The following is a 14,353-nucleotide window of genomic DNA, read 5'->3' as shown; positions in this document are numbered from 1 at the left end:
GGAAGAAATTACTTTGGGAAAGAAATAAAAGTAGAAACTGTAGACAGAAGGTCAGGATGAGCAATTTACAGATTTCACATGCCGGATAACTTTACATTTCCTGGGATTAAAACGTTCTGGCTTACAGTGAGGCTAATTATAAGATAATTTTACTGACTGAATATTTTGATAAGCTTTGGAGTACAGTTTAATTGGTGGCTTTTCCACAGTTGAAAGATAAGCCCTTGCTGGAGTAGGGAGAGGAAATGGGGTGGGAGGGACAAGAAGAAAAAAAAAAAACACAGAAAAAGTTGTTCATGACAGCTGTGCTGGTTAAAGGGGGCTGGGAGATGAATCTTTCACAAAGGTGAATTTCAATGAAGTGTTTTTATGAGTCTTTTCCTGGCTTCTGAATAAAATATGTTTTATTGTCATTCTTAAAAGGACACCTTGTTAAGGAAGAAGGTGTGAATCAAGGAAACTCCAGTGGACAGGGAGGGCTCAAACCAAACGACACAGCAGCCAGGGCTCCTGGCAGGCCTCTGCATGAACAGGACCTGCAAGGGCACACGACAACTGGGGAGGGGGGAAAGCCTCCGTGCTATGTGGGAACCCACTTCCAGGGTGGATGGGAACAGGGTATTTCACAGTCATTCTGGAAACATGGCTGAAATGTCACACAGAATACACTGGGTCCAATGAGGAAGGCCTGAACAAAGGCTGGAACAGTGTAGAAAAGTTCTTGTGGGTCTTCCCTTGAAACCCCAGGTTGGAACAGACCAATGAGGCAAATGAGCTGTGTAAGAAGCTTCCATATGTATGCCTGCTCTTCCTCATTCCTACAGAGAAAGCAGGGGAGGTAGAAGAGTCTCTGGGGTTTCTGTACCATAGCAAATGCCAGGTAGAGGCAACTGTGTGATCTGCTGAGAGATGAGATGCTTTTCCTCCTAGGCCTTAGGAACCTCCATCATCTAGTCAGGCCTTTCCAAAGCCCCTCGCCCTGCTCTGATGCATCAGCAACTCAGAAACGCTTTAAGCAAGTCTCACCACTGCCTGTGTGTGCGCACACACACGCACACACACACAGCACATGTACACTGCACACACACATATGCACACTAGTGCACATATGCACATTCACACGTGTGCACACATGCAGGCACACACACATACACTCGTCCACATTCAGACATGCACACGCACACATGCAGTCTTTTAGTGCTTGTGTGCATGTGTTTATTCACATGTGCATACATGCATGCATATGCAAGTACACATACATGCACACACGTGTACCACCGCATGTGCACACATGCACACTCATATATAGGTGCATACACACACTCATCCACATGCATGGATACACTTTGGCATTCAGAGAGGCTCATGGAGCCCCTTAGACAAAAGGAGGCCTCAGACAATTGACCCCTTTGTTGCTGGTCTCAGCAGGGATCCAGAAGAGAGAGGGGAGGGAGGCCCGTGGGTTGGCCCCTGACCCTGGCCCAGCCAGGCTGAGGTCCTGGGACACGGAGGTCAGAGGGATTTTGTGCTGCCCTCCCTGGGGAACACCCCCTACTGAGGACATACTGTAAGTATTGCCAGAACACACTAAACAAACTCCATTCTGAGTACTTCATTTTAGATTTACACAATTTGTTAGTATCAAAATTAAATCACATTTTAATGGCAAGGAAAGAGTAATTCAACATTTCAAAAATTTTCCTGCCACTTCAGCTTGAAAATGCTCCTTTTTTGGAACAGCTGACTGAGGCAGCTGTTTTGCATCAAGTTGGAGGGGTTTCCATATGACCCAGCGAGCTCAGACAACAGGCAGACCTTCCTGCATTAAAGGGTAATCTGAGAATAATTTGCCATAAAACACCCAGAAGTACACCAGCTGTAGCCAGATACGCCCTATAAAGCACCACGTAGATTTCATGGATCTTGTAAAATAATAATAATTTTTAAAAACACATTTTTTAAACACATTATAATTTTTTTAAAGAAAGGAATGGTTTACACTATCTTAGAAGGCAGCAAAGAGATTCCCTTACATGTTCACGATTGCTACTAAGCGCCACTTCCCAAATGCCCACTTGACCAAGGGTCCCTGTGTCCCTATGTCACTGGGAATCCGATCTTTTGAAGGTACCCTGGACCTCATGGTGAAGATGTGCTCTCTCACACATGGCTGCCAAGAGCAGGTGAAAAGGAGAGACCAGGAAGCACCGGCTCCAGTCTCCCAGCTCCAAGTCCAAGTCCAGAACTTTCTAGGCCTGGGACAGTGGCACACTCCAGGGCCCCTGTCCCATGCTGGAGGGGCCATGACCTAGGAGCCAGGTCTTTTCACAGAGGAGGCCACCAACCCACCAGCAGCCTGATGCCAGCACTCCCAATTCTTCAACAAAAGCTGGATAATGGGGTTTTTTATTATGAAAATTTCCACGTTTTAAACTAATTTGAATATTTTTCAAATACGATTCAAGCCAAACAAAACATGTCAACAGGATTTGGCGAGGAGGCCGCCCGCCTGCAACCTGCCTTGCACCCTGCCTGCTGCCAAGCTTATACCCGGGTCTGCAGATCTGAATCTACGCATAGGCGACAAATCTGGAAAGAGCCTGCCTATTTCTTCCAAGGCTTCCCTCCCTTTCCCATACTTGTGGGAAGCTTTTTCTTTACTTTTCCTTTTTTCATTTCAAAGGCCTAAAGAATTGTACATCACAAAACAAACACTAAAAGAAATTGGTATTTGTTTTTCTTCTGTATGGTTTTACTGTTCCTGTCCCCTTTTCACAGAAAATATGGAAAAAGAAACGTGAAGGGAAGAAGAGGCATGACATGGGCAGAATACCATGCAAACAGGGCCATGGCACCCACAGAATACCACTCAGACAGGGCCACGGCACCCACATAATACCACTCAAACAGGGCCTTGGCATGCACAGAATACCAAACAGGGCCAGGCAGGCACAGAATACCACTCAAAGAGAGCCATGGACACACAGAATACCACTCAAACAGGGCCAGGCAGGCACAGAATACCACTCAAAGAGAGCCATGGACACACAGAATACCACTCAAACAGGGTCATGAGATGCTGGCAGCAAGGACATGAGGACTGGAAGAAAGTGATCCACAGGACAGATTTCTGTAACCCCTTCCCAGGTCTCCTTCTAGCACCGCTCTCTCATGATAACAAGCAAGACCAGCACACTACCCCCAACAGCCCCCTCCAGGGCTGGTCGTCCCCAGGCACCACCCCAGATCTTACTGATTCCATGGGCCTGACTCTCAAACCCTATCACACCCACCACAGCTCACTGGGTCTCTGCCACGGATGTCTTCTACAACTTTCTTAGGTACTTGCTACTTCTGCTGATAAGCTAATGATGCTTAGAGATGCTGGTGGAAGTAACAGTGAGCTTTGTGGCCAAACCCCGACCTTTCCAGCCTGTTTCTTCATTGTGAAATGAGGATAATGTTACCTACTCCACAGGGTTGTTTTAGGCCGATTAACTTTGACCTCAAAAACGAGGACCAGCAGTATCAGTCTCCCCTGGGAACTTGTGAGAAATGCAAATTATCAGGCCCAAACCCAGACCTACTGAGTCACAAACTTGGGCATTTCAGCTGGTTCTACAAGCGTCAAGTTTGAGAGGCACTGAATGAGATGATGTACAGAAAGAACTGAGCAACCTGCGTGGTACTGACAAAGCTTTTATTAGCTGCCAGATAATGATGACGCAGCCCAAAGTGAAGCCTTTCACATTTTATGTCCTCTTAATGTCATTTCAATGTTCTATACTCAGCTTCAGGCACCATGATGATCACCACGAGTTCAGGCCCACTGGCAGGTCTGGAGGAGATGAGGCCTCCTGGTGCTCACGGGAGACCAGCAGGGAGAGGTGTCTGCACTCTGCTTAGATGCACAGTGCTGCTGACAAGCAAGGATGCAGCCAGCTTCCTCAAGGCCAAGGGCAAGCCTTGGAGCCTCACCAGGCTGCAGCACCCTCCCCTTTCTGTGTTCCTTTCTGTCATTCCACCAAAAGAGGAAAAATACAACAAGACAGGGAAGAGGAGGAAAAGCAGCAACTTATGTTCACTATGGAGCTTACTTTATGATGTTACCATTCCTTGATCCCTTGGAATTAAATTTAAAAAAAAAACCTAAAGAAATTAAAGAAAAAGCCACACTTAAGTTAAAAATAAAAAGGAAGAGATAAATATAATATGTAGGCTCTTTCCAGATTTGCTGGAAACCCAGTAATTCATATCTGAAATTTTCAAAAGCTGATGTAAAAGACAAGTTGTTAAATCAATGGAAATCAACACAGAACTAACATTGAAACCTAGGCGGTGCTTGTTTAACCTAAGGAAACAGGTGGCTTTTAACTCTTTAGGCCCCAAATGACTGAAAATCTAAGACCCATTATGCTGCCATTCCTCACTGCTCCCCACAAAGAGCCTGACCCAGGCACTACCTTTTGGACTGAAAGTTACAACCCTGCTTGAAAAGCATGGAGATCACTTCACAAGGACTTGCTTTGTCTCTCATTTACCCAGACTTGAAAAGTTGTGAGTCCTGAGTTGCCATCTCTGCAGCAACATCACCTTGGGTCCCTTCTGCTGGGTGTTTTTCAGGGATGGAGTCCCATAAGCTGGGGACTTTGGTGGTCAGAGAACCACCTCTGCTCTCAACCTCCTCTCCAGAGAGGGAACTCAAACCAGGAGAGAGCAGGCAGGAAGCTCTCGAGCAAGAACCTGGCAATGGTTATGGGCTTTAGGAACATTGGCTGTCACCTTTGTCATTTCTATTAAGTGACTATCATCTGTCACAGTGAACTGGGACTATGGCAGGACAGAGCTGCTTACTTGTGTGTGTGTGCCCCACACCCAGGGCTGCTAACCAAGACTCCGGAACCGCTGAATTCACTCCAGGTAGTTCCTCTCTGCTGTTTACAGCTTGTCAATGAATACATTTTTCTTAGGCTTACGTTTCAAACAAAAGAATTATGCACTCTAGTTCCTTTGCTTCTCTTGATAATGAAGGGTTGGCTAACGGATAATATGAATAAACCACACACGGTGTTTTCCTAGAAAGCTGAAGTCCCTTAAAAGAAATTATCATGACAATGGCTGTGGATTCTGTGCATCCCTTACATCCCAGAACACCTCACACTCTGGAACATTCAGTGGTAAATAATCACTTAAGTGATTCTTATTACGTGTTAAATACCACTATTGATTATTAAGTCAGAGGAGAATCAGCCAGAAGAGGAGGAAGAGGACAAAGAGAAGAAAAGGAACCATGAAAGGACTAAGAGGGAAAAAAATGTGACACCCGCAAACATGGTCAGTTAACAAAAACGTTAGGGTATTTCCAAGGTGGATTTGGGGACATTAAATACAGGAAAGTGCAAGCCCATTGATGGGCTGTCACAGCAGCTCAGAGACCTCATCTCAGCTTGTGGACCCCTCTCACCCCCAGGCCCTGTCACAGTCAAGAGTCAAAACCCAAGACATCGCTTTTCAATGTAAGACCACAGAGAGTTTAAAGGTATTCAAAGAAAGACAGGAAAACACTTTTTCTCCTTAGCTTTCAGCTACCTTTTCCTCGATCAAATTCTTACCCTCCAAAAATTCACAAAACAAGTAAAAAAAATCCTCCACCCAAGTACATGAGGCAGTCCATGAAATACAACAGCAACTGCTAAAAAGAGTGCAGGAGATCTGTTGCAGGGAAAATAAACAGTTTTTTTAAATCAGGCTGTTTATTTTGAGATAATTGTAGATTCGCATGCAGGTCTAAGAAATTATATGGAGAAGTAATACAGAGAGATCCCGGGTACCCTTTATCCAGTATCTCACAATGGTAAGAGCTCACAAACTTAGCACAATATCACAAGCAGGATACTCCCCTGATAGAGTCAAGCCACAGGACATCTCCATCCCCGCAAGCATCCCTCATGGTGACCGTGTGTAGCCACACCTACTTTCCTGCCTCCCCAGCCCACTCCTTAGCCCCTGGCAGCCGCTAATCTGCTCTCCGTTTCCATAATTTTGTCATTTCAGGAATGTTATGTAAATGTAACCATGCAGGATGTAACCTTTAGGATTGGACTTTCTTAGAATAATTGTCTAGAGATTCATCGAGGTTGCAGTGTGTATCAATAGTTTATTCCTTCGTATTGCTGAGCAGTGTTCCATGGTATAGATGCACCACAGTGCATCTTTCAACCTTTCACCTGTTGAAAGATATCTGGGTTATTTCCAGTTGAGTTATGAGTTATGAATAAAGTTGGTATAAACATTCATTTTCAGGTATTTGTGGAAAAAAATATGTTTCATTTCTCTGGGAAAATCCCCAGGAGTACAATTGCTCAGTTATATGGCAGTTGCATATTTAGTTTTATAAGAAACTGCTAACCTGTTTTCCAAAGTCTTGATGATCTCACCAGAAATGTACCAGTGATGCTGTTTTTCTACATCCTCACCAGCATTTGGCGCTATCACTTTATAAATCTGAGCTATTCTGATAGGTATGTAGTGATATCTCACTGTAGGTTTAATTTACATTTCCCTAATAGCTAGTGATGTTAAACATCTTTTCATGTGCTTATTTGCCATCTGTATGTCTTTTTCAGATAAATAGCTCTTAATCTCTTTTACCCATTTTATAATTGGATTGTTCAGCTTTTATTGTTGAGTTTTGAGAGCTCTTAACATATTCTACATACTAGTCCTTTGTCAGATATGTGATTTGTAAATATTTTCTCCCAGTCTGCACTTGTCATTTCATCCTTGTAACAAGGTATTCACAGAGGGAAAGAGTATTTTGATGAAGTCCAACTTACTAGTTTGTTCTTTTTTTTTTTTTTTTTTTTTGAGATGGAGTCTCGCTCTGTCGCCCAGGCCGGACTGCGGACTGCAGTGGCGCAATCTCGGCTCACTGCAAGCTCCGCTTCCCGGGTTCATGCCATTCTCCTGCCTCAGCCTCCCGAGTAGCTGGGACTACAGGCGCCCGCCACCGCACCCGGCTAATTTTTTGTATTTTTAGTAGAGACGGGGTTTCACCTTGTTAGCCAGGATGGTCTCGATCTCCTGACCTCATGATCCACCCGCCTCGGCCTCCCAAAGTGCTGGGATTACAGGCGTGAGCCACCGCGCCCGGCCTACTAGTTTGTTCTTTAAAGGATCATGCCTTAGTGATACGTCTAAGAATTCTTTGTCTAGCCCTATACCTCAAAGAGTTTCTCCTTTTTAGTGAGACAGTCTTGCTCTGTCACCCAGGGTAAGTCCAGTGGCATGATCATAACTCACTGAAGCCGCAAACTCCTCCCAAGTAGCTGGGACCACAGGTGTGTCCATTCTCACCTGGATGATTTTATGTATTTATTTATTTATTTAGACAGGAGGTCTCACTATGTTGCTCAGGCTGGTTTCTATTTTTTTTTCTAAAAGTTTTATGGTTTTAAATTTTACATTTAAGTCTGTGACCCCTTTTGAGTCATTTTTATATAAGGTGTAAGACTTGTATAAGGCTTGTTTTTTCATGTGTGGATGTTCAATTACTCCAGCACTGTTTGTGGAAAAGGCCATCTTTCCTCCATTGAATCACTCTTCCACCTTTGTAAAGAATCAACGGGCAATTGGTTTGGTTCTATTTCTGGGATGCCTAATCTGCTCCATTGATCTACTTGTAGATCTTCCTGCCAGTACCACACAGTCTTGATTTCTGTAGCTATATATCTTGAAATTGGGTAGACTGATTCTACCTACTTTATTCTTCTTTTTCAGAATTGTTTATCTATTCTTTTGCCCTCCCATATAAATTTTAGAATAACCCTGGATATATTTACATAAAACCTTGCTGAGATTTTGATAGGAATTGCATTAAATCTGAGGAGAATTGACAACTTTATCATGTGGAGTCTTCCAATGTATAAACATGGTACGTGTCTCCATTTCTTTGAATCTTCTTTGGTTTCTTTCATCATCATATAATTTTCAGCATGCAAATTCTATACATGTTTTGCTAGAGTTCATTATATGTATTTTTTGAGCAATTATATTTTTAACTTGTGTTCATTGCTAATATTTGGAAATGCAATTAATTCTTGTATGTTTATCTACAACCTTCTGAAACTCAATTATTAGTTCTAGGAGGTAAGTGTGTGGGGGTGTAGGTTCCTCGGGCTTTCTATGTAAGAAATCATGTAATCTGCAAATAGGGTCAGTTTTATGTCTTTTTTCTGATCTTTATGCCTCTTATTTCCTTTCCTTGCCTTATTTCCCTGGCTAGTACCCCCAGAACTGTGTTGATTAAGAATGATGACAGCAGACATCCTTGCCTTGTTCCCAGTTGTAGGGGGGAAAGTATTCAGTATTTTATCTTTAAATATAATGTTACCTGTAGGTTTTTTGTAGATGTTCTTTATGAAGTTGAGGAAATTCCCTTCTATTCCTATTTATCTGAGAGTTTTAATTATGAATTGGTGCTGAATTTTGTCAAATATTGCTGAAAAACAACTTACCCTTTTTATAGCTATTTCTTAACTTCTTCTCTATCTAGTTTTTACCAATACAAATTTGTACCAGGCCAGGCGCGGTGGCTCACGCCTGTAATCCCAGCACTTTGGGAGGCCGAGGTGGGGGGATCACAAGGTCAGGAAATTGAGACCATCCTGGCTAACAGAGTGAAACCCTGTCTCAACTAAAAATACAAAAATTTAGCCAGGCGTGGTGGCGGGCGCCTGTAGTCCCAGCTACTCGGGAGGCTGAGGCAGGAGAATGGCATGAGCCTGGGAGGCGGAGCTTGCAGTGAGCCGAGATTGCGCCACTGCACTCCAGCCTGGGGCACAAACCAAGACTCTGTCTCAAAAAAAAAAAAATTATACAAAACAAACCCAAAAAACCTGAGCCTTCTACCAGGAATATAGAATACAAGCGAAGATGAAGTTTTCTATGAAGTATGATCACAGCTGTTTAAAAAAAAATGCAATAGATTTATTGTGGAAAGAGACACGTATTTTTAAGCAAAGAAAGAAAGAGAGGGAGGGAGGGAGGAAGGAACTGCAGACACAATGTAGATGCGTACAATATGTGTTGAGTCAATACCTGATGTTAGGTAATTATTTATATAATTACATAGAGAGAAGTCTGAATGCCAAATTGTTGCACAGGAGAAGATAAGGTGGAAAAAGACTTTCACTCATTAATATTTTATTCTCTTCTCTAATGTTTGATGTAAGTGCTTTAAGATAAGCTGATATTAGTGAATAATTATTTTAAAAATCTACTAAAGAAAAAATATGGAGGAAATCTTATATTGCAAAATGCTATGAACCACAGTTTGACTTTCTGTGTACCCAAACACAATTTTTCTCTTAAGATGCTGTCTTTACCAGCCTGAAACATGAGTGCTTTGTCAGGGACATATTAAAACACCAGCCACCTCCACTCATATTCACACTGAATGAAAAGGACAAACACTCAAAAGTAGGGCTCAAGAAAGCAGTGAAAGAACAAGGAAGCAATCTCTGTAAATAATTATCTCACTCCCACTCCAAACACAGGCTCACGATGGCTCCATTTCATGGTTTGATTCTTTAGGTCAGTTTAATCTAAAGGTGGTTACTTCAGATTTGATGGGAGAGAAATGAGTTTGTCTAATGTGATGGATGTGATAGAGGCAAAAACAGATACATACACACACACTCAGCAAGGGAAATCAAGGACGCCTTCCTCCTTCTTCCCCTGCCTCAGACCAGGCTTCTGGCAGGGCACAACTAGACAAGAGTACCACAGAAGTGTGGTCACTGTGACGCAGAGAAGAAACAGCCACCGTACAAAGACACTGGAGCAAAAGCACCCTCGATCATTTACAGACACTGCTCTGACCTGGTGCTACCTGGCACTACATTGGTGATAGTACATCCTGAGCTTTCTGAATATTTCTAGGACAATTCTACAAGGAGCTCTCTCTTCCTCAGAAGAGAAAGAACCAACTTCCCGAGGAGTAACCCAGTCAAGAGACACAGCTAAGGGAAGATCAGCATGCCCCACGGCTATCAGTAAGGCAGGAGACCAGTGCTGACCACCACCTGGACCCAACGAACTCACCACCTGAACTTACACTATCATGCACTGGCACTCCAAACTGGGGTGGGGATGGGGTGTGAACTGTTCAGCAGATAGAAAACTACAAAGGACACAAAAAGAAAAGTCACGAAACAACGAAATATAACAAGTATCAAACATACAGGAAAATACTCAACATCATCCAAAGCCCCCAAAACAGACATTTAAATAGCAAGATAGGCTGGGCACGGTGGCTCACGCCTATAATCCCAGCACTTTGGGAGGCCAATGCAGGCAGATCACCTGAGGTCGGAAATTCAAGACCAGACTGACCAACATGGAGAAACCCTATCTCTACTAAAAATACAAAATTAGCTGGACGTGGTGGTGCATGCCTGTAATCCCAGCTACTCGGGAGGCTGAGGCAGGAGAATCACTTGAACCTGGAAAGCAGAGGTTGTGGTGAGCCAAGATTGCGCCATTGCACTCTAGCCTGGGCAACAAGAACAAAACTCCATCTCAAAAAAAAAAAATAGCAAGATAGTACAAGTGGGTGATTCCTCAGAGCTCCCCAAAGAAGCATCCTTAATTCCACCCCCCAGCCCACCACTGAATAACCATGTGATCTTGAGCAAATGACTCAATTTCTCTGTGCTTCAGTTTCCCAGGTCTAACTTGGGGATTACAACGGCTCCTTACTCACAGGCTTGTTGAGAAGGCTGATGAGATGACGTACGCAAAGTGCTCAGCACAAGGATAGTACAACGCTCACACTCTGTCTCTTAGTCATTGTTGATATTTACAGGAATTCAATCTAGAAAAAACAGCCTGGCGATTGTCAATGCCAGAAAGCAAGAAGAGTGCACTCACAGACTATTGTTGGCATTACAAATCAGCACAGCTCTTTTGAAAGACAATTTGACGACATGTATTAAAGAGTCATGACAGTATTGACACCCTTAGGTTGTCCCTAAGGAAATAATCTAAAGGAAAGGAAAATCCAAATATGCACATTAGAACCCTGTGTATAAAAGCAAAAATTGAAATAATGTAAATATCTACTAACAATAGGAAAATAGGCTGAGCATAGTGACTCATGCCTGTAATCCCAGCACATGGAGAAGCCGAGGCAGGTGGATTGCTTGAGCTCAGGAATTTGAGACCAGCGTGGGCAACATAGTAAGACCCTGTCTCTTCAAAAAAACACAAAAATTAGCCAGGTGCGATGGCATGTGCCTGTAGTCCAAGCTACTTGGGAGGCTAAGGAAGGAGAATCACTTGAACCTGGGAGGTGGAGGTTACAGTGAGCTGAGATCATGCCACTGCACTCCAGCCTGGGCGACAGAGCAAGATTCTGTCTCAAATAATAATAATAATAGGAGAATAATAAGTCAATAATAAGACTTTTAACTCAATATTTTGTTGCCATTAAAAATCGCAGTTAAGAAGATTATTTAGCAATATGAGAAAGATGCTTGGGATTTAATGTGGGAAAGCCAGAACAGAAGCAATCAGCATTTGTGCAGGGAGGTGATAGCCACATCAAAAGTAAAACATGTGACTCCCCTTGCCCTCCTCTCCTCCCCTCATCCTCACCCCATGCCCAACCACCTTCCTTTCCAGGGTCAGCTGATGTCTCCAGCTAAGCCACTCTGCTCCTCTCCACTAACCCAACTGATACCACCCTGAAAGTGTTGCCTTCTCTCTCACAGGAAGTTCAGCAAGAGCTTCTTAAGGAGCTGCCTTCCTCCAGCCAAGAACTCAGAGCTGATCTCACTGAATCCCACTGGAAACCCTCTGGGACTCTCAGTGCTCAGTGGCCACATAATGAAGCCAAGACTCTAAGGCCACCTCACCTGCCCCTTCCAGCCACCTCACCTCCTCACTGCTACCCAGCGCACCACATCAGACCCAGGCCCCAAATGCAGTGCACTGTTCCACGGCCCGCCACATGCCAGCTCATTCACCTGCCATGCCCTGCTACCTTTATTCACCTTTCAAATTCCTCTTCATCCTAGAAACCACCCCTAGACGTCATCATGACCCGGGAGAGCCCATGCCCCACCCTGGCTTTTATCCGTCCCTCTTTTGGCTACTCCTGCAGGGCATATGTGGGTGTCAGTGCCTGTGTATAGATCCTTTCCCACCATCCTGCAAACTTTTGGAGGCTGTGTGTTCATCTTCCATCCAGTGCCAGACCCACAGCAGGAGCTCAGGGAGGATTGGTTAAAATTAGCAGGTTTGTATTTCTTTCATTTCTCTTCTTTAATGTGGTTATGCAGTTGTCTGTGCACATTAAGCTGCATGGAGTCTGTATTTGTCCCCTGGGCTCGGGCAGCCAACAGAACAGCCATCGCCAAAGCCCATGTTCTGGTGCCACCACACCACATCTCACCATGGAGAGCGAGCCCATCTGAACAGAGCACCCAACTGTGGGAAATGCTTTCCAACCAGCTGAGAAGAGACTAGGATCTTTTGGTGTACAGGTGAACTGTACACTAAAAGGACTATGCACCAAAACTGTACACCAGATGAAATGTGCACCAAAAATCCTAATTGCTCCTTAAAACAAAAAAAAAAGGAAAAAAAAAAAAAAAGCAAAGAGAGAAAATAGCAAAACAACATCTCCAAATCTCAGAAGGATGTCTGGATGTCTTCTAACTTTAACATGACATGTTTTTAACATCAATATGGCCATTGCATTGCTATGAATCAATGGCCACCAACAACAAAGTGTGCTTCTCTGTATGTGGAAACAGGCCATTTAATGCATCTGAAATACAAGGTTCAGATTAGAATCTGGGTCAGGCAAGAGGTCTGGGCAATAACACACCTATGGGTGGCAACCACTGGACACTTTCTACACGTCAAACATGGTGCCAAGTGCTGTACCTAAGCCCATCAACTCTGAGAAGGAAGCATGACTCTTCCCATTTTGTGGATGGAGTGACAAAGGTTCAGAGAACATGCTATCTTGCCTAAGGTCACACAGCTAGAAGGTGACTGAATACCTGGGGATATTTGGGATTGGCATCTTGCAGGCCTTGAGTACAATATTAAATATTGGGAACTTTTAACCCTAGAGACAATAGGGAGATGCCGAAGGTGTGTGAACAAGGGGCGCTCAGTGATGATTCTGAAAAGTTATTTGCAAAAGAGGAATTATAGGAGAGGGCAGCAAAAAGATGAAGCTTTCCTTTAATGTGCTATATTTTTATCCAAAGTGGCCTTTTATTATTTGCTGATAGAAAATTAATTTGGAAACAGGCAATTAAATAAAGCCACTGAAATTTGATGGGGGTTGTTGTGGCTGTCACTGTCCTTTTGTATCAGACTTGCCTAGCTCCTCTCAGCTGATCACTCTGGTGCAATCACTGAGACTTCTGAATACTCAGCACCCCTCATTATCTTTCTCTCCTCCACACCTTCCTCCTGCTGATGTGCTCAGAAACATGGTCCAGGCCTCTAGTCAACCAGAAGGACAAAGAAACCATGCTACTCCCAAATAAATGAATATTTTTCAGGATTCCAAGAAAAATCTCCACTGTGGCTGGGGGCCCAAGACATTTATCCACTAAGGCCTCAAAGCATTGCATGGGGTACAAGGACATTTGATGCAGCCTGTCTCTAAAACAAAAAACCTTGCAAACGGCATAAATGCTCACCAGGAGGGGTCTGCTTATAGTGGACTACTATGTACTATTAAAAAGATTAAGGATATTGAAATCCCCTGTTTGATTCATGGGAAAAAATTAAGGATGTTGTCTACATGCTAATTTGGAAAAAAATCTCCAAGAAACAGTGTTCAGTGAAAAAAGCCGGAGGACGTCCACTTCTGGTGTGGCAGTGTGAGCCCCCTGCAGACCAACCCTCCCATGAATAAAAATGATAAAGTCAGGGCAAAATAAGAAAAATGACTACTGAGGATTCTAGAGAGTAGAACCAAGCAGATAGATTATAGAGGGGAGTCCAAATTTGAAGTAGAGAGTGGCACAGGGTAGCTTTCCGGTTTTTTAATTGTTATTTCCTGATTTTTGCCCTGAAAGCAGGACACAGTTGAAAACTAGTTCAGTATAAGTGGCTAAAACTCTGTGAAAAAATCTGTTGTCTTTCTGTTTGAAGGAACCAGGAAAATTGAGCAAAGGCAACCATGGTCACTGGAGTGTGAGGAGCAATCAAAGAGAACAAAGGTTAGAAGAAGTAGATCCCCTAATTCTGTGCATGAACTCTGGATGAATCTCAGGCTGACCACTAAATTAGCATTCATGGGACAAACTCAAAGCAATGTAGC

At 43.5% G+C, this 14,353-nt stretch overlaps 1 protein-coding gene across 28 annotated transcripts in view, besides 1 other annotated feature; it reads right to left on the bottom strand.

Moving 5' to 3' along the window:
• ACOXL (acyl-CoA oxidase like) overlaps positions 1-14,353 on the bottom strand; it is a 385,976-nt gene that overhangs the window by 279,137 nt on the left and 92,486 nt on the right. The window lies entirely within an intron of this gene.
• Positions 1,869-2,857: an enhancer, noted in NCBI's record as "H3K4me1 hESC enhancer chr2:111594132-111595120 (GRCh37/hg19 assembly coordinates)". NCBI's record gives its function as "activates a minimal SCP1, AML or CMV promoter by ChIP-STARR-seq in naive H9 embryonic stem cells {active_cell/tissue: H9 hESC(naive)}" and the evidence as "EXISTENCE:reporter gene assay evidence [ECO:0000049][PMID:30033119]".

The sequence above is a fragment of the Homo sapiens genome, chromosome 2, assembly GCF_000001405.40.
Source record: "Homo sapiens chromosome 2, GRCh38.p14 Primary Assembly".
NCBI lineage: Eukaryota > Metazoa > Chordata > Mammalia > Primates > Hominidae > Homo > Homo sapiens.
The sequence above is the reverse complement of the archived record's forward strand: the minus strand, read 5'-3'. Positions and strand labels throughout refer to the sequence as shown.